This window comes from Homo sapiens, chromosome 15 (genome assembly GCF_000001405.40).
Source record: "Homo sapiens chromosome 15, GRCh38.p14 Primary Assembly".
In the NCBI taxonomy this organism is placed as follows: domain Eukaryota; kingdom Metazoa; phylum Chordata; class Mammalia; order Primates; family Hominidae; genus Homo; species Homo sapiens.
In genome coordinates, this window is record NC_000015.10 from 75432387 (window position 1) to 75451359 (window position 18973).

Here is an 18973-nt window from a genome sequence, read left to right on the forward strand (position 1 = left end):
TGAAGTCAATACTTTATTGGCCGGATGCAGTGGCTCACACCTGTAATCCCAGCACTTTGGGAGGCTGAGGCAGGCAGATCACCTAAGGTCGGGAGTTTGGGACCAGCCTGGCCAACATGGTGAAACCCTGTCTCCAGTAAAAATACAAAAATTAGCCAGGTGTGATGGCGCACACCTGTAAAACCTGCTACTTGGGAGGCTGAGGCATGAGAATCGCTAGAATCCAGGAGGCAGAGGTTGCATGAGGGGAGGTCCCACCACTGCACTCCAGCCTGGGCAACAGACTGAGACTCTGTCTCAAAAAAAAAAAAAAAAAAAAATTATAGAAATGTTATGATAGGGCAGCACTGGGTTTAAAAAACAAAAACTTCATAGGCTGGTCACAGTGGCTCACACCCGTAATCCCAGCACTTTGGAAGGCCGAGGTGGGTGGATCACCTGAAGTCAGGAGTTCGAGACCAGCCAGGCCAACATGGTGAAACCCAGTCTCTACTAAAAATACAAAATTAGCTGGGCATGATGGCACGCATCTGTAATCCCAGCTACTTGGGACGCTGAGACGGGAGAATCGCTTGAACCTGGGAGGCGGAGGTTGCAGTGAGCAAATTCGCACCACTGCACCCCAGGCTGGGGGACAGCGCGACTGTCTCAAAAAATAACAACAACAAAAAAAAACTTTATAAATAATAAGCCAAAATCAGATGTGAAGAGCACGGCACGACTATAGAAAAAACACTAGAGTACCTTTTAAGAACTGGATTCTGTTGGATGGGAGAATGTTTGAGGGCAAAAAATAAAAACAAACAAAAAAGAACTGGATTCTACTCCAAACTCTATCTACCATGAAGCTTTCTAATTTTGGCCCTGTTTTCAAACAGGGGCAAAAGGAGGGGATCAGCCTACATTAGTGATTTCCAAATGCTGGTTTATGAACCAGTCTATAAGGAAAAAGAAGATTGTAGTGAGCTTTTCATACATTAAGTATTACAGTACTATGGTTTATTCTGATATCATACTCTATCTTTTGGCTGTTAAAATATCGTTTCTTTTATTAAGTGATTGGGATTTCATATGGTACTTAACTTCATCCACCTCCAGAGTTTGCTTTCCATACCACCTCTACAACACTACAGAGGCTGAACTTTCTCTGAACCATACTTTATTCCTTTAACAATTACCACTCATAGGCCGGGCGTGGTGGCTCACGAGATCAGGAGATCGAGACCATCCTGGCTAACATGGTGAAACCCCGTCTCTACTAAAAATACAAAAAATTAGCCAGGCGTAGTGGCGGGCACCTGTAGTCCTAGCTACTCGGGAGGCTGAGGCAGGAGAATGGCGTGGACCGGGAGGCAGAGCTTGCAGTGAGCCGAGATCATGCCACTGCACTCCAGCCTGGGCGACAGAGCAAGACTCCATCTCAAAAACAACAACAACAAACAAACAAACAAACAATTACCACTCAAAGTTCTATTCCTAACTCTCTCTCAAATAAATTGCTTCCGCTCTAATCATACCTCCTGGTTTCAGGCCCTGATCATCCTTCACAACAACCTTATAAGCAAGGTGTTCTCTAATTTATGAATGAGGAAACTGAAAAACAAAGATTAAGTAAACTGCCCAAGGTTGCACAGCTAGTAAGAGGCAAAGCTGTGATATAAATCCAGGAAATCTGTCTCCAGAGCCTGGCTCTTAACTACTTCACTACCTTACCTCTCACAGAAGAGAAGAAGTGAAGGAAGAATCCCTTTACTTATTTAAGGCACACATGCAGGGAGCAAGTTCAGCTTTTTTTAACCTTTCACACACTTAGCTAACTCATCCTTCTTCAGCCTAAACCTAATAAAGCAGAAATGCTTTAGTAGCATTCATTCATTAAAAGCAAATGTTCAGTGAGTAGATATGAAGTTGGTAGATGATTTCAGCCCTTGCCCTCTAAAACCATATATAGCCTCACTAGTAATAAAAAACGTGTAAAGTAGGCCGGGCGCGGTGGCTCATGCCTGTAATCCCAGCGCTTTGGGAGGCCGAGGCAGGCGGATCACTTGAGGTCAGGAGTTCAAGACCAGACCGGCCAACATGGTGAAACCCTCCCTCTACTAAAAATACAAAAATTAGCCGGGTGTGGTTGTGGGCGCCTGTAATCCCAGCTACTCAGGAGGCTGAGGCACGAGAATCACTTGAACCTGGGAGGTGGAGGTTGCAGTGAGCCGAAATCGCGCCACTGCACTCCAGCCTGGGCAATAGAGTGGAACTGTCTCAAAAAAAAAAAAAATAAAAGGTCAGGCGCCGTGGCTCACACTTGCAATCCTAACACTTTGGTTCGCCGAGGCGAGTGGATCACCTGACGTCGGGAGTTTGAGACCAGCCTGATCAACATGGAGAAACTCTGTCTCTACTAAAAACACAAAATTAGCCGGGCATGGTGGTGCATGCCTGTAATCCCAGCTACTCGAGAGGCTGAGGCAGGAAAATCGCTTGAACCTGGGAGGCAGAGGCTGCAGTGAGCCGAGATCGCGCCACTGCACTCCAGCCTGGGCAACAAGAGCAAAACTCCGCCTCAAGAAAAAAAAAAGTAATTTACTCCAAAGCAATTTAAAAAAAAAAAAGATGACAGTGTGGGTAAGGATACAGGGAAACACTGATGGAGGAGGCTTTAATTGGTACAGCCTATTTAGCTGGCAACTTGTAGGTATTTATTAAAATTTTAAATGTGCATACCCATCCCATGCATATTATGGAAAACTATGTAAGAATCAGATCAAAGTTTATCCACGAGTATAAGAAATGAACTCTAAAACATACTAGATTTTGGAATACTGAAACTATCAATTCCACTTTCAGGCCTGTATCCTACACATCTGCTGAGTATATTTATTGCAGCAAAATATGAAAATCTAAATATCTATCAGCTAAATAAATGTGATCATGCATATTATGGAAAACTATGTAGGAATCAGAAAGATCAGGGTTTATCCACAAGTACAAAGAATGAACTCTAAGACATATTAAGTGAAAACAGCAGGCTAGGCCGGATGCAGTGGCTTACGCTTATAATCCCAGCACTTTGGGAGGCCGAGGCGGGTGGATCACCTGAGTTTGGGAGTTCGAGACCAACCTGACCAACATGGAGAAACCCTGTCTCTACTAAAAACACAAATATTAGCTGGGCGTGGTGGCGCATGCCTGTAATCCCAGTTACTCAGGAGGCTGAGGCAGGAGAATCACTCGAACCCAGGAGGTAGAGGTTGAGGTGAGCCAAGATGGCGCCACTGCACTCCAGCCTGGGCAACAAGAGTGAAACTACGTCTCAAAAAAAAAAAAAAAAAGAAGAAGAAAACAGTAAGCTATAGAATACATACAGCATGATCTCATGTATGTATATATACACATACAAAATGTACTAAAGATTTGTACATTTCATTGTATGTAAAATTTGCATTGAAAGAAAAATGTGCCTGGGCACAGTGATTCATGCCTGTAATCCCAACACTTTGGGAAGCTGAGGCTCAAGGATGGCTTGAGCCCAGGAGCTGGAGACCAGCCTGGGCAACAATGGGATGACCCTGTCTCTACAAAATAAAGAAACAATTAGCTGGAAGTGGTGGCGCACAACTATGGTACTAGCTACTCCAGTGACTGAAGTGGAAGGATCTCTTGACCTCAGAAGTTGAGGCTGCAAGGTTGTAGTGAGCAGTGATAACGTCACTGCACTCCGGCCTGGGCAACAGAGTGAGACTCTGTCTCAAAAAAAAAACAAAAAAAACAAAAAAGAAAAAGACAAAGAAAAAACATGCTAGCCACGCACAATGGCTCACAAAGTGCCTGTAATCCCAGCACTTTGGGAGGCCGAGGCAGGCGGACCTCTTGAGCACAGGAGTTCAAGACCAGCCTGGGCAACATGGCGAGACTCCATCTCTACAAAAAATACAAAATTAGCCATGCATGGTGGCATGTACCTGTAATCCCAGCTATTTAGGAGGCTGACGTGGGAGGATCATGTGAGTCCAGGAGACAGAGGCTGAGGTGAGCTGAGATCTCGCTACTGCACTCGAGCCTGGACAAAAAAGAAAAATGCTATAAACAATATTAAACTCTAGATAATGATAAACATGCTCAAGTGCTTAGATGAAGTATACTAATGTCTGCAATTTATTTTGAAATACATCAAAAAATCAGATTCATTGATGGAGCGATGGATAGATGGACAGGCATATGTTAAACCTAGTAGTAGAAAAATGATAATGGTAAAATCTAGGTAGTGTGTATATGGGTGTTCATTATATTTACTAAAATTCTATCAACTTTGTTGTGTATTTGGAAATTTTCTTGATAAAGTCTTGGAAAAAAACATCCACAGGTTCTGAGGATTAGGAAAAAAAAAAACAGGAAGAAAAGCCAACAATACAAACCAGCTCTTGAGTGGAAAAAATAAGTACTATAAATTGGGAAAGGGATACAGACAGGTACACTTGGGAAGACTCTATAAAGGTAAATATTCAGCTACATCTTGAAAATTAGAGATGAATTAGAACACAGGGGTATAGAGCATGAAATTAAAATAGTAAGTTTAGACTTGCAGGCAATAGTTATTTACAATCTTTGCCAAGTCATTCATCCCACAAATAATTAGCAAGTGCTTAAGACATGCCTGGCCCTGTGCGGAGGGTTAGAAGTCCAGCACTGAGCCAGAGATTTCCTCCCCGACAACAGCCAAGTCTTCCATGTATGACTGCTATCAGCTGATGTCCTCCTCGCAACAATCCTGTCAGATAGGCAGTCCCAGAACCCTTTTTTTTTTTTTGCAATAGCATACCATTATGTCCACCAGGCTGGAGTGCAGCAGGGCTATCACGGCTCACCGCATCCCCAACCTCCTGGGCTCAAGTAATCCTCCCACCTCAGCCTCCCAAGTAGCTGGGACATAGGCAGCGCCACCATATCTAACTTTTGTATTTTTTGTAGAGACAGGGTCTCGATATGCTGCCCAGGCTGGTCTCCAACTCCTGGCCTCAAACAATCCTCCTGTCTTGGCCTCCCAAAGTGCTGAGATTATAGGCATGAGCCACTGCGCCCAGCCAGACCCCTCTTTTTTTGAGGGAAACTGATACTCAAATTAAATGACTTATTCAAGGTCACATACCTGACTAAAAGAGCAAGAGGTTAAATTCTTCCTCCTTGGAATATGAACAATCTAAAGTAGAAACATTGGACAAGACTGTAAAACCACGCTTGCAGAGGGGTACAGTGTAATTCTAGAATATAAAGAAAGCCAAACGATGGAACCACAAAGTCAGCCACAAAAGTACTGTCAAGTCCCGCTTCAGCCAACATGGTTGATCTCCATCTGTTTCAAATTTGGAGTTTATAGTACTATCAGAACTCTAGTCTAGGAAGACATTATAAAAAGAAAAAAAAAGCACTTTGACGTATAGAAACTATGGAGAGAAGACTAAATAATGGCAGCAGAACATTTAAAGGTCACCTGGTGGGCACAGTGGCTTGCACCTGTAATTCCAGCACTCTGGGTGACTGAGGAGGAAGGATCATTTGAGGCCAGGAGGTGGAGGTTAGATTAAGCAAGATTGCACCACTGCACTCCAGCCTGAGCGACAGAGGAAGATCCCAAATACACACACACAAAAAAAACACCTACAGGTCCTAAAAGTCACCTGGCCATGTGTTATAATAAAACTGGGCGCGGTGGTTCACACCTGTAATCCTAGCACTGTGGGAGGCTGAGGCAGGCGGATCACTTGAGGTCAGGAGTTCAAAACCAGCCTGGCCAACATGGCGAAACTCTGTCTTTACTAAAGCACGAAAAACAAATTAGCCGGGTGTGGTTGTGGGTGCCTGTAATCCCAGCTACTCAGGAAGCTGAGACACAAGAATCGCTTGAACCCAGGGTGCGGAGGGTGCAGTGAGCTGAGATCGCGCCACCGCATTCCAGCCTGGTTGACAGAACAAGGCTCTCCGTCTCAAAAAACAAAACAAACAAAAAAAAAACGGGTGGGATGCTGGGTGTAGCAGCTCACATTTGTAATCCTAGCACTTTGGGAGGCCGTGGTGGGAGGATTGCTTGAGGCCAGGAGTTTGAGATGAGCCTGGGCAACAAAGTGAGACACCGTCTCTACAAAAAAATTTTATTAAAAATTAGCTGGGCATGGTAGTGAGCACCTGTAGTCCTTGCTGCTTAGGAGGCTGAGGTGGGAGGATCATTTGAGCCTGGGAGGTTGAGGCTACAGTGAGCTGTGATTATGCCACTGCACTCCAGCATGGGTGATGGAATAAGACCCTGTCTCAAAAAAACAAAAGTCTATCCTGGTCAGTTTGTTTAAATGCATACTCTTAGAACAAAAAATAAAATAAATAAATGCATACTCTTTTTTGCTTATTTTTAAATGCATATTCTTGAAACAATGGAAAGTTTCTCTTCAAAAGCAAACTTCCATCGCAGTATTAAGTCAATGTAAACTTCAACCCAGTGCAATTTTGAGTAGTCTAATTCAAAATTTGTCCAAAAGTCCACCTCTGGTTTTAAATCTGCTAAGAAAGAATCTATTACAGAATGAAAGGCACTCTATTTAGATTTCATATATTGATTAGAATTATTGCTTGGAAAAATTAACAACCAGCTCTTCTCAAAAGACACCATTAGATCTAATATCCAAGCCTCCTTTGAACTCAGTTTTTATATTCTTCTAATGCAGTGGTCCTCAACTAGGGGAGATTCTGCCTCCCAAGGGCACATGTAGTAATGATGGAAGACATTTTTGGTTGTCACAACTCGGGAAGATGGAATGCTACTGATATCTCACAGATAGAGTAAAAGGATGTTGTCAAACATCCTACAATGCACACGACAGTCTCCTCACAACAAATTATTTGGCCCAAAATGTCAACAGTGTGTGAAGACTGAGAAACCTAAGTTTAATCATAACCCCAACTGTCACATATCTTTTTTTTTTTTTTGAGACAGAGTCTTGCTCTGTCACCCAGGCTGGAGCGCAGTGGCGTGATCTTGGCTCACTGCAAGCTCCGCCTCCCAGGTTCATGCCATTCTTCGGCCTCAGCCTCCCAAGTAACTGGGACTACAGGCGCCTGCCACCACGCCTGGCTAATTTTTTTTTTGTATTTTTTAGTAGAGATGGGGTTTCACTGTGTTAGCCAGGATGGTCTCGATCTCCTGACCTCGTGATCCGCCCACCTCAGCCTCCCAAAGTGCTGGGATTACAGGCGTGAGCCACCGCACCCGGCCATCAATGCTTCTTTTACGGCATATGATACACCTTTAACCCGCATTATACCATTACGCATTGGCCAGACACTCTGACCTAAAGTTTTTTAGAACTCTTATCTTTTTTTACGCCTGGTCTCCTTTCGTCCCTCTCTTAGGCTTGATCTGTAAAACTCTTCTGACTCAAAATTTTAGAGCTTTTCTGATACCATAATGCTCATTAAATCTGTAAAAATTAAAAATAACGCCAAGTGTGGTGGCTCACGCCTGTAATCTCAGCACTTTGGGAGGCTGAGGCGGGCGGATCACCTGAGGTCAGGAGTTCAAGACCAGCCTGGTCAACATGGTGAAACCCCGTCTCTACTAAAAACACAAAAATTAGCTGGGCGTGGTAGCGGGCGCCTGTAATCCCAGCAACTTTGGAGGCTGAGGCAGGAGAATTGCTTGAACCTGGGAGGCGGAGGTTGCAGTGAGCCAAGATCACGCCAATGCACTCCAGCCTGGGCAACAGAGCGAGACTCCCTCTCAAAAATAAATAAATAAATAAATAACTTTAAAAAAACCCCATATCGTTATTACTTACTATTTTAACAAGAATGTAAGTAGCAAATTTGTTTTTTTTTTTGAGACACAGTCTTACTTTGTCACCCAGGCTGGAGTGCAGTGGTGCAATCTCAACTCACTGCAACCTCTGCCTCCCAGGTTCAAGCAATTCCTGTGCCTCAGCCTCCCAAAGCAGCTGGAATTACAGGTGTGTGCCACTACACCTGGCTAATTTTTGTATTTTTAGTAGAAAAGGGGTTTTGCCATGTTGGCCAGGCTGTTCTCAAACTCCTGACCTCAAGTGATCTGCCCGCTTCAGCCACCCAAAGTGCTGGGATTACAGGTGTGAGCCACCATGCCCAGCCTTAAGTAGCAAATCTAAATTTTTATTCCGTACTTTCCTGGACACTGGGAGATATAAATATCCAAAATGTGCAACATCCTTTAAAATGCAACCAAGTACTCATCAAATGTCATGCATGAACTTGGAACACAGCCATTCTATAAATTTTTTGTTTCTTTTAAGAAACAAGGGGTCGGGCGCGGTGGCTCATGCCTGTAATCCCAGCACTTTGGAAGGCCAAGGCAGGCGGATTACGAGGTCAGGAGATCGAGACCATCCTGGCTAACAAGGTGAAGCCCCGTCTTTACCAAAAATACAAAAAATTAGCCAGGCGTGGTGGCAGGCGCCTGTAGTCCCAGCTGCTCGGGAGGCTGAGGCAGGAGAATGGCGTGAACCTGGAAGGCAGAGCTTGCAGTGAGCTGAGATCGCGCCACTGCACTCCAGCCTGGGTGACAGAGCGAAGACTCTGTCTCAAAAAAAAAAAAAAAAAAAAGAACAAGAAAAAGAAACAGGGTTGGCCAGGTGCAGTGGCTCACGCCTGTAATCTCAGTACTTTGGGAGGCCAAGTCGGGTAGATCACGTGAGGTGAGGAGCTCAAGACCAGCCTAGCCAACATGGTGAAACCCCATCTCTACTAAAAATACAAAAAAATTAGCCGGGCATGGTGGCGTGTGCCTATAATCCCAGCTACTCAGGAAGCTGAGTCAGTAGAATTGCTTGAACTTGGGAGGTGGAGGTTGACCGAGATCTCGCCACTACACTCCAGCGTGGGCAACAGAGCCAGACTCCGTCTCAAAAAAACAAAAAACAAAATAAAAAAAAAACAGGGTCTTGCTCTATTGCCCAGGCTAGAGTACAGTGGCATGATCATAGCTCATTACAGACTGCTGGGCTCAAACAATCCTCCCACCTCAGCTTCCTAAGTAGCTGGGACTACAGAGTGGCTAATAAGAAAAAAATTTTTTTTAGAGACAGGGTCTCCCTACATTGCACAGGCCGGTCTTGAACTCCTGGCCACAAGCGATCCTCCTGCCTCAGCCTCCCGAGTAGCTGGTGTATACCACTACACTTGGCTTCCACTCTGTAAACAGGTACACACCACCACGCTTGGCTTCCATTTTGTAAATTTTGATTCCAGGTTTCAGGTACAGCTCTAGTAAGGTTCTAGCTTATCACCTCTGGGTCTTTTTTTCCCTTTCTGCCCATCAAATGAAATACTTTGAAAACTCACTTCATAATTTTGTTGGAGAGAACAGTCATCTTCTTTGCTCCATAATCATAAGCATTCTCATTTTTAGACTAATAAATGTCAATCAGAATGAACAATCCAGGCTGAGCGTGTGGCTCTTGCCTCTAATCCCAGCACTCTCAGAGGCCGAGGCGGGTGGATCACGAGGTCAGGAGATTGAGACCATCCTGGCTAAAACGGTGAAACCCCATCTGTACCAAAACTACAAAAAATTAGCTGGGTGCAGTGGCACGCACCCGTAGTCCCAGCTACTCGGGAGGCTGAGGCAGGAGAATCGCTTGAACCCAGGAGGCAGAGGTTGCAGTGAGCAAAGACCATGCCACTGCACTCCAGCCTGGGTAACAAGAGTGAGACTCTGTCTCAAAAAAAAAAAAAAAAAAAAAAAAAAAAAAAAACTGATTTTTTTTTTCATTTTTACATAATTTTTCCTTCTAACCATCTTTATACATATACGTAACTTTGGCACCTGTCCACTTACAAACTGCATCAACTAAGTTTTGGTGTACAAATATCTTGAAAGATGAAAGAATACTATCATACATCTTTTTGGCAAAGTGCAGTGGTTTTGATTGTTTTTTTTTTTCATTTCTTAAAAATAGAAATGGGGTCTCACTATGTTGCCCAGGCTGGTCTCGAACGTCTGGGCTCAAGCGATCCTCCCACCTCAGCCTCCCAAGAAGGTGGGATTGCAGGCATATGCCACTGCACCCAGCCCAGTTCTGATTCTTATAAAAAGAAAATCACATTCTAGCTGGATGCCTATAGTGCCAGTTACTTGGGGGAACTGAAGCAGGAGAACAGCTTGAGCTCAGGAATTTAAATCCAGCCTGGGCAACATAGTGAGATAGATCCCATCTTTAAAAAAAAAAAAAAAAAAAAAAAAATTCACCGCTGGGCATGGTGGCTCACGACTGTAATCCCAGCACTTTGGGAGGCCAAGGCAGGTGGATCACCTGAGGTTGGGAGTTCAAGACCAGCCTGACCAACATGGAGAAACCCCATCTTTTACTAAAAATACAAAAAATTAGCCAGGCATGGTGGTACATGCCTGTAATCCCAGCTACTTGGGAGGCTAAGGCAGGAGAATCCCTTGAACCCAGGAGGCGGAGGTTGCGGTGAGCCGAGATTGTGCCATGGCACTCTAGCCTGGGCAATAAGAGCAAAACTCTGTCTCAAAAAAAAAAAAAAAAAAAAAATCACATTCTAAACTCATCTAGGGTACAGTCACATATGTATATGGGTGGAGACAGAATCTTGCTATGTTGCCCAGCCTGGTTTTGAAGTACTGGGCTCAAGTGATCCTCCCATCTCAGCCTCCCGAGATGCTAGGATTACAGGTGCACGCCACCATGCCTGGCTGAAGACTCTTATTTTACAACTTGGTTTATATAACTTTACCGTCATCCTAACAGTCTAGAGTACTACTGTCACACAGCATTCATCTACTAGTTCCTCTGAAATGTCTTCTGTAGTCAGTTTTCTTCTCTTTGCCATTATAGGAGGAAGATGAAAAACTATGGATTTTTAAATATGTCCAATGAAAGCTTAAAAGTTGAAAAATAGTATAAAAATTACCATGTACTCCTTCACCTAGATTCTCCAAATGTTAACATCTTACATAATGTTTAAGATGGTATCTCCCAACTTCTTTTATACTTTCTTGAAAGATGCTGTAGGCTGGGCATGCTGGCTCATGCCTGGAATCCCAGCACTTTGGGAGGCTAAGGTGGGTGGATTGTTTGAGCCCAGGAGTTCGAGACTAGCCTAGACAACATGGCGAAACGTTCTCTCTACAAAAAAAATACAAAAATTAGCCAGGTGTGGTGGCACATGCCTGTAGTCCCAGCTACTTGGAGGGCTGAGGTGAGATTGCTTGAGTCTGGGAGGCGAAGGTTGCAGTGAACTGAGATTGCGCCACTGCACTCCAGCCTGGGTGACAGAGTGAGACCCTGTATCCAAAAAGAAAAAAAAAGTTGCTGTAAGTTTTGGGAAAAGCAATAAGAAAACTGAAGGGCTGCGGTGCACACCTATAGTCCCAGCTACCGAGGATGCTTAGGAGGGATGATCACTTGAGCCCAGAAGTTTGAGGCTGCAGAGAGCTATGATCATACCACTGCCCTTCGGCCTGGGCAACAAAGCGAGGCCCCATCTCTAAAAACTGAAGTGTAAAACTAATGATTTATTTCACTACTGCATATCCTTTTAAGCAATTCTATAATTCTCCCTTTGTCATATTATTTTAGTCCTCTTTAGCATATTTGAGAATTGATGAGTAATGATGAAATAATTCCTAGGATGATGAAATACCAAAACATTTCAATATACAGGAAAAATAAGATCAGTAAAACTCCACAACATTGTTTCGATGTACAAGTGGTAATAGCTAAAATGAGTTTATTCCTTTGGAAAAAAAATAAATTTTCAGGCTGGGCATGGTGACTCATGCCTGTAATCGCAGCACTTCGAGAGATAAGAAGTTTGAGGCCAGCCTGGCCAATATGGTGAAACCCCATTTCTACTAAAAATACAAAAATTAGCTGGGTATGGTGGTACACACCTGTAATCCCAGCTACTCGGGAGGTTGAGGCAGGAGAACCAGTTGAACCCAGGAGGCGGAGGTTGCAGTGAGCCAAGATCGCGCTACTGCACTCCAGCCTGGGGATGGAACAAGACCGCATCTCAAAAATAAAATTAAAAATAAAAATAAATTTTCTCTTTGCTGTTTTGAAGACCTCCAATAAATAAAAGTCATGAAATATACATCTTTACAAGTAGTTAGTACTGCTTTAAAAAAAAAAAGCAAAACTCAAAAACTAAAATTGAGTCCAGACCAGGTGCAGTGGCTCAGGCCTGTAATCCCAGCACTTTGGGAGGCCGAGGTGGGCAGACTGCTTGAGCCCAGGAGTTTGAGACCAATCTGGGCAATACAGACTTCGGTGACACTGATGTTACCCAGACATTTCTTACTACTGTAGGTAGAAAATGAACAGAAATTTAGTTAAATTCAAAATGTATTAATAATTGTTATCAATGTTGATTTTCTGATTTGATCACTGTATTGTGGTTTTAAAAGATGCACTTGGGGAATCTAGGTGAAGATTATAGGGCTATTATTTGTATTATTTTTGCAACTCTCTTTGAAGTCTAAAATTATTTCCAAAGAAAAAGTTTTTTAAAAATTAAGTATTAGGCCAGGCATGGTGGCTAACACCTGTAATCTCAGCACTTTGGGTGTCTGAGGCAGGTGGATTGCTTGAGTCCAGGAAGACCAGCCTGAGCAACATGGTAAGACCCTATCTCTATTTAATATAAGAAATATAATCTTTCAAAATATCTATAAGGCCAGGTGCAGTGGCTCATGCCTGTAATCCCAGCACTTCGGGAGGCCAAGGCAGGTGGATTGCCTGAGGCCAGGAGTTCAAGACAAGGCTGGTCAACGTGGTAAAACCCTGTCTCTACTAAAAATACAAAAAATTAGCCAGGCATGGTGGTGGCGCCTGTGATCCCAGCTACTCAGGAGGCTGAGACAGGAGAACTGCTTGAACCTGGGAAGGGGAGATTGCAGTGAGCTGAGATCGCGCTACTGTACTCCAGCCTGGGCGACAGAGCGAGACACTGTCTCAAAAAAAAAAAAAAAAAAAAAAAAATTAGCCAGGCATGGTGGTGGGTGCCTGTAATCCCAGCTACTCGGGAGGCTAAGGCAGAAGAATCACTTGAACCCAGGAGGTGGAGGTTGCAGTGAGCTGAGATTGTGCCAAGCCGAGATTGCACCACTGCACTCCAGCCTGGGAGACAGAGCAAAACTCCGTCTCAAAATAAATAAATAAATAAATAAATAGCTGGGTGTAGTGGCGCATGCCTGTAATCCCAGCTGCTCGGGAGGCTGAGGCAGGAGAATCACTTGAAGCTGGGTGTGTGTATGTGTGTGTGTGCAATGAGCCGAGATAGTACCACTGCACTCTAGCCTGGGCAACACAGTGAGACCTTGTCTCAAAAAAAAGAAAAAAAAAAAAAAAAAAGAAAGAAAGAAAAGAAAATAGAGCATTACAAAGAATAGAACTTGAGATAGTTCTTGAAAGGACAGGTGGAAGTGTCACTCACATCTCACACTGCTTTTATCACATTAGCTCTTCTGCTCCCACACAAACATGGGCACATAACATCTTTAACCATCTATGTATCCTCTACCATGCTCAGCATACTGCTTTGTCTTGTCTGTGGTGGAAACCAAATCATTCATTCATGTATACATTCTCTAATATCTACTGAGCACATACTATGCACCAGGTGTTTTAGGAGCTGGAGATACAACGGTAAACAAAAATCTCTTCCCTCAAGAAGCTTATATTTTAGTGAAAGATGACACAATAGACAAAGTATAATATTTAGAATAGTAGGCAGTGACAGGTATCAAGAACAAAAGGCAAGGAAGAGTTTTTGAAATTGTAGATAAGAATGGTCAGATAATACCTACTGATAAGGTAACTTCTGAGTAAAGGAAGTGAGGGAGCTAGTCATGCAGAAATTAGTGGAGGAAGCCTTCTAGGCAGAGGGGACAGCAACCGCAAAGACCCTCATGTCTTTGTGAGGGCTCACATGTGCTTGACATGTTCCAAAACAGCATGAAGGCTGGGTAGCTGAAGAAAAACGAAAGAAGGACTAGTCAGAAATGTAGTCAGAGAGGTACTAGGATAAGGGTGGCAGGCAGAGGGTACATCAGATTTGTTCTTACAGGTGTTTTTTTATTTTTTGACACAGGGTCTCATTTTGTCGTCAAGGCTGGGGTGCAGTGGCACAGTCATGGCTCACTGCAGCCTCAAGCTCCTGAGCTCAAGCAATCCTCCTGCCTCAGCCTCTCAAGTAACTGGGACTACAGGCACGCGCCAGCATGCTTGGCTAATTTTTAATTTTTTTATAGAGACAGGGTCTTGTTATGATGCCCAAGCTGGTCTCAAACTCCTGGACTCAAACGATCCTCCCACTTGAGCTCCCAAAATGGTGAAATTACAGACATATCCTTTTTTTTTTCTTTTGAGACAGTCTCGCTCTGTCGCCCAGGCTAGAGTGCAGTGGCACGATCTTGGCTCACTGCAAGCTCCACCTCCCGGGTTCACACCATTCTCCTGCCTCAACCTCCCGAGTAGCTGGGACTACAGGTGCGTGTGCCACCATGCCCGGCTAACTCTTTTGTATTTTTTTTAGTGGAGACCATGTTAGCCAGGATGGTCTCAATCTCCTGACCTCGTGATCCGCCTGCCTCAGCCTCCCAAAGTGCTGGTATTACAGGCATGGGCCACCGCGCCCAGCTCATTACAGACATATCTAAATAAGGACTCAGGTTTAATACTCAGACTGAAATGGAAAGCCACTGGATGGTTTTAAGCAGAGAAGTGACACGGTATGACTTAGGTTTCAAAAGAATCACTTGGGTTGCTATGTTGAGAACACATTTAAGAGCCGCAGTAACAAAACAAGGAGAATAGAATCCAAGCTAGAGATGCACAGGCACTGACTAGGGCAGTGGAGATGCAGATCCTAAGTGGTCTAATTCTGGATAGTATTTTGAATATAAAGCAGTAAAATTTACTGATGGACCACATATGAAAAAGACACAGAAGAGTCAACAATGTCTCTTAGTTATCCAAGAGGAGACATCGAGTGGAGACCTTGAGTGGGCCACTAAACATATTAGTCTATGGTAGAGGGAGAGATCCCCGTTAGAGTCATCAGCATTGTTTGGATTTTAGAAAGGTAATATGGTACATATACTGTATCATCTCTCTCTCCCAGCTAGGGCTGAGTAGCTCCCCATAATCAAGCAGTCACATTTCTGCATCATGCAGGATAGCCCAGGTCAGGCTGTACCCCAAAACTAGTTGTGGAACTAGACTTACCAAAAAACAAAAACTCTTGCATTTCAGAACTGCAAATAAAGGATGTGGACCTGCATATCCTCCAATAGCCCATATGTCAGCAAGCCTAGCCCTGGAGGACACCAAGAAGACTCATGAAGGGTCCACTGTCATGCTGAGAAATATGGGTAACATACAAGCATACAAGACAAAAAGTGGGTAGGGAAAACAAAAGCAAAAGGGGCAAATAAGAAATACATCAGGTAGAAATTGCCACCCATGACCGGGCACGGTGACTCACGTCTTAATCCTAGCACTTTTGAGAGGCTGAGGCAGAAGGACCTCTTGAGCCCAGGAGTTCGAGACCAGCCTGGGCAACACAGCAGGACTTCACCTCTATAAAAATATAAAAAAAATTAGCCAGGTGCGTGGTGGCACACACCTGTAGTCCCAGCTACATGGGAGGCTAAGGTAGGAGGGTCGCTTAAGTCCAGAAGATCAACACTGCAGTGAGCTGTGATCATGCCACTGCACTCCAGCCTGGTGACAGAGCGAGACTTCGTCTAAAAAAAAAAAAAAAAAGACATGAGAAAAAAAGACATTATGCGGCCGGGTGCAGTGGATCATGCCTGTAATCCCAGTACTTTGGGAGGCTGAGGCGGGCGGATCACGAGGTCAGGAGTCTGCGACCAACCTGATCAACATGGTGAAACCCTGCCTCTACCAAAAGTACAAAACTTAGCCAGGCGTGTGGTGGCGCCCCAGCTTCTTCTTCGTGGAGGCTGAGGCAGGACAATCGCTAGAACCCGGGAGGCGGAAGTTGCAGTGAGCTGAGATTGCACCACTGCACTCCAGCCTGGGAGACAGAGCAGGACTCCATCTCAAAAAAAAAAAAAAGTCTAGTGCCTAACACAGTATCTGTGACACAGTAAGTGCTCAATAAATATCAGCTTTTATTTTTCAAGGGGCGAGGAAGGTGTATTTTGAAAAAGCATATACTATTTATTTTTTTAAAGGCCTACAGAAAGTAAAGCTTAACAAACTCTTGGCTGGTGGATTGCCCAGAAAAGAGAGAAAGCCATGAAAAGCACTATGCTAAACTACTGAATGCCAGGGATATAACCTCTTAATTCCAGTTAAAATTCCCAGGTACTAACATCTGCCATGCACAGCTCTCCAGTGTCTTGTCTGCTCCCACTGAAGATGTAAAAAGAATTATACTTCACCAGGAATCTTGTCAAATTACTACACACCTCCTTCCTTAAAAAAGAAAAAAAGTCTTTCTCTGTATGTAAATTATTAAAACCCTCTTAATTACGAAGTGCCAATCTTTCTAAGCTATTTATCTCTGAACAAAATTATAGTATATAAAATAATTATCTGGAGATTATGAAGCATTTATGAAAATGTTCCTAATACAGCAAAACCAGGTTCTTACTTGAATCCTTATAGACTCTTCTGTGTTCCCCAGTATACAGCACTGCAAATCATGGGAACTATATATGTAGCCCAAATTTTCCTCAATGGTCAATCGTTCTCCACTATCTCTCTCAGTTTATGGCATCAGAAAAAACCACCTGGATTTTTTGTCTCCCCACCAATTCTATTACAGCCATCATTTGCTAAACTAAAATGCTATTGCTTTTGCAACTTCCTTAGCAGAGAAGGTAGGACCCACCTACCCTTTTCACATAAATATAGCACAGGGTACCACTCAGGCCCTACTAACCAAAGCACAAATCTAGAATTTCACTTCAGATAATTAACCAGAGGCTCATTTAGACATTACTGCATAAATAAACATTGGTTCCATGTTTATTTTTCTCATGAAAAATGTGAAAAACATTGAAATAATTTCTCTCAATAGGAAAAGATAATGTATCAAGTGAAAGCAAAAACCTCATCTAATGTGGTTCTGCTATCTAAATCTGAAATGCCCTAAGGCAACTCTCCAATACAGGCTGGAGGGCAACGCTACAGAAGTCACATACAGAAGGCTACCCTGATCCACAATTCCACCCTCCTCTGAAATAAAAAGGGCAACAACACTGTACTATGTAGAGTATAAATAGAAAGTGGTCTAGATGGTCTAACATAAGTACATAAAATAAAAAAGAAAAGACTTTTCACCTATAGTTACCTAAATAGCAAATTCTTTAGGAAACCAAGTTTTTTTGGTTGTTTTTTGAGGCGGAGTTTTGCTCCTGTCGCCCAGGCTACAGTGCAATGGCACCATCTCGGCTCACTGCACCCTCGCCTCCCGGGTTCAAGTGATTCTCCTGCCTCAGCCTCCCCAGTAGCTGGGATTACAGGCGCTTGCCACCACGCCCAGCTTTTTTTTGTATTTTTAGTAGAAACAGGGTTTCGCCATGTAAGCCTGGCTGGTCTCGAACTCCTGACCTCAAGTGATCCACCTGCCTCGGCCTCCCAAAGTGCTAGGATTACAGGCATGAGCCACCGCGCCCGTCCAGGAAACTAAGTTTATATAGCAGAACCATGTGCACAATGAAAGCATTCAAAAATACAACTGTCAGAGATATCGGAGTATTTTATTCAAAGTCTGAGTTCTTAAAAAAAAAAAACAAACCCTACTTTATAAACAGACCAGTTTTGAGATTAAAATGTAAATCCAAACTTTCCTGTTATAAATCTCAGCCTTGTAAAGAGGAGGAGCTTCCACTGCCTTTTCAAGGCTAACTTCGTTTAAAGTCCTAACGCACCGAAACAGACGCCAAGTCTACTACCCACCACCCATTGGCTCAAAGGAAGCCCCGCCCCGTACAGCCACGGTAACTGAACATCAAGGGAACCCCAGGGAAGGTTTTCCCTCCGCCACATTTCTAGTCTCTGATGACTCCCTGCCCCTCCCCTACCATCACCACCGCGGATCTAGGGTTCCAGCACCAGCCACGCACGCTCCTACAAGAGGACCTTGGGCACTTCGCCCCAATAGTTACAACCAAGAGGGGAGTGGGGGTGACCATGCTCCCACTCTCCTGGCTGCACGGTGCCAGACACGCTGCATGGAGCAAAGCGGAGAAAGCAGCTCCGGCACAGGGCCCTTGTGCCCCCAGGCAGAAGGCATGACCCAGCCACAAGAGTAAGTCCTGACACCTCCACAGCTCCCAGTCGGCGGGTGCCCCTCCCTCCCCACGGAGACATAGGGCGGGGCAGATCTAGGCGCCGAGACTCCCAGCCAGACCCGACAGCGGGCTTTCCCTAGCACCTCCTCATTGCCAAGGAGGCGGAAACCCGGGGCCTGGGCGGGGTGCAGGGGGGGACGGCCAAGGGGAGTGGCATCACGGATCAGTACGGCCCCTCCGGCCAACCGGATCCCAAGAAGGCGGAGGAACTCAGACTTCACGCCCCCTCCCTGCCGCGCCCTGAATCTACACGCGGGAGACCCCCCCCTACCCCTCCCCGACCCCAGCAGGCCAGAGCGCGGCCGCCAGCCCGAGGCCCCGCCCACCCCAGGAGGAGGGGAGGGGGTGGTCGGCCGCAAACTGCACTCAGCGCGAAGCCGGCCCCGCCCCTTTCTCCACAATCGCACGCGCGCGCCGGCCCCGCCTCTGAGCGGCGGCGCGAGAGCCCGCCCCCCTCCGCGCGCACCGGGACTACGCTCTCCTCCCCCTCCCGCGCGGAGAGCTACCCCGCTCCGCCCCCCACCCCCCTCACACAACCACACACCTCCCGCCCGTCTGCTCTACGGGAAGCCGAGGAGGTCAGCCCCCCCCCCCCAAAATACACAC

General features: G+C 44.9%; 1 protein-coding gene across 12 annotated transcripts in view, besides 5 other annotated features; it reads right to left on the reverse strand.

The window, feature by feature from the left end:
* Window positions 1-18973, reverse strand: part of SIN3A (SIN3 transcription regulator family member A) — an 86437-nt gene that overhangs the window by 63008 nt on the left and 4456 nt on the right. Inside the window, exons 2-3 of one of the 12 annotated variants that reach the window (XM_047432361.1) lie at window positions 13847-14009; window positions 3960-4057 (exon numbers count right to left, since the gene is read on the reverse strand). The exons of 5 other annotated variants lie outside the window; for them this stretch is intronic. The gene's annotated coding sequence lies outside the window, so the exon portion shown is untranslated. Of the gene's footprint in view, window positions 1-3959; window positions 4058-5143; window positions 5190-10947; window positions 13020-13846; window positions 14010-15266; window positions 15358-15666; window positions 15789-18973 lie in introns of those variants that run through there. 6 more of the 12 variants (XM_047432359.1, NM_001437462.1, XM_047432355.1 and 3 more) reach the window with 6 other exon arrangements.
* Window positions 8617-8766: a silencer, noted in NCBI's record as "silent region_6668". NCBI's record gives its function as "represses an Ori minimal core promoter by ATAC-STARR-seq in GM12878 lymphoblastoid cells {active_cell/tissue: GM12878}" and the evidence as "EXISTENCE:reporter gene assay evidence [ECO:0000049][PMID:35858748]".
* Window positions 17722-18641: an enhancer, noted in NCBI's record as "H3K27ac hESC enhancer chr15:75742449-75743368 (GRCh37/hg19 assembly coordinates)". NCBI's record gives its function as "activates a minimal SCP1, AML or CMV promoter by ChIP-STARR-seq in primed H9 embryonic stem cells {active_cell/tissue: H9 hESC(primed)}" and the evidence as "EXISTENCE:reporter gene assay evidence [ECO:0000049][PMID:30033119]".
* Window positions 17722-18948: a biological region, named in NCBI's record as "H3K27ac hESC enhancer GRCh37_chr15:75742449-75743368".
* Window positions 18069-18198: an enhancer, noted in NCBI's record as "active region_9852". NCBI's record gives its function as "activates an Ori minimal core promoter by ATAC-STARR-seq in GM12878 lymphoblastoid cells {active_cell/tissue: GM12878}" and the evidence as "EXISTENCE:reporter gene assay evidence [ECO:0000049][PMID:35858748]".
* Window positions 18449-18948: a silencer, noted in NCBI's record as "silent region_6669". NCBI's record gives its function as "represses an Ori minimal core promoter by ATAC-STARR-seq in GM12878 lymphoblastoid cells {active_cell/tissue: GM12878}" and the evidence as "EXISTENCE:reporter gene assay evidence [ECO:0000049][PMID:35858748]".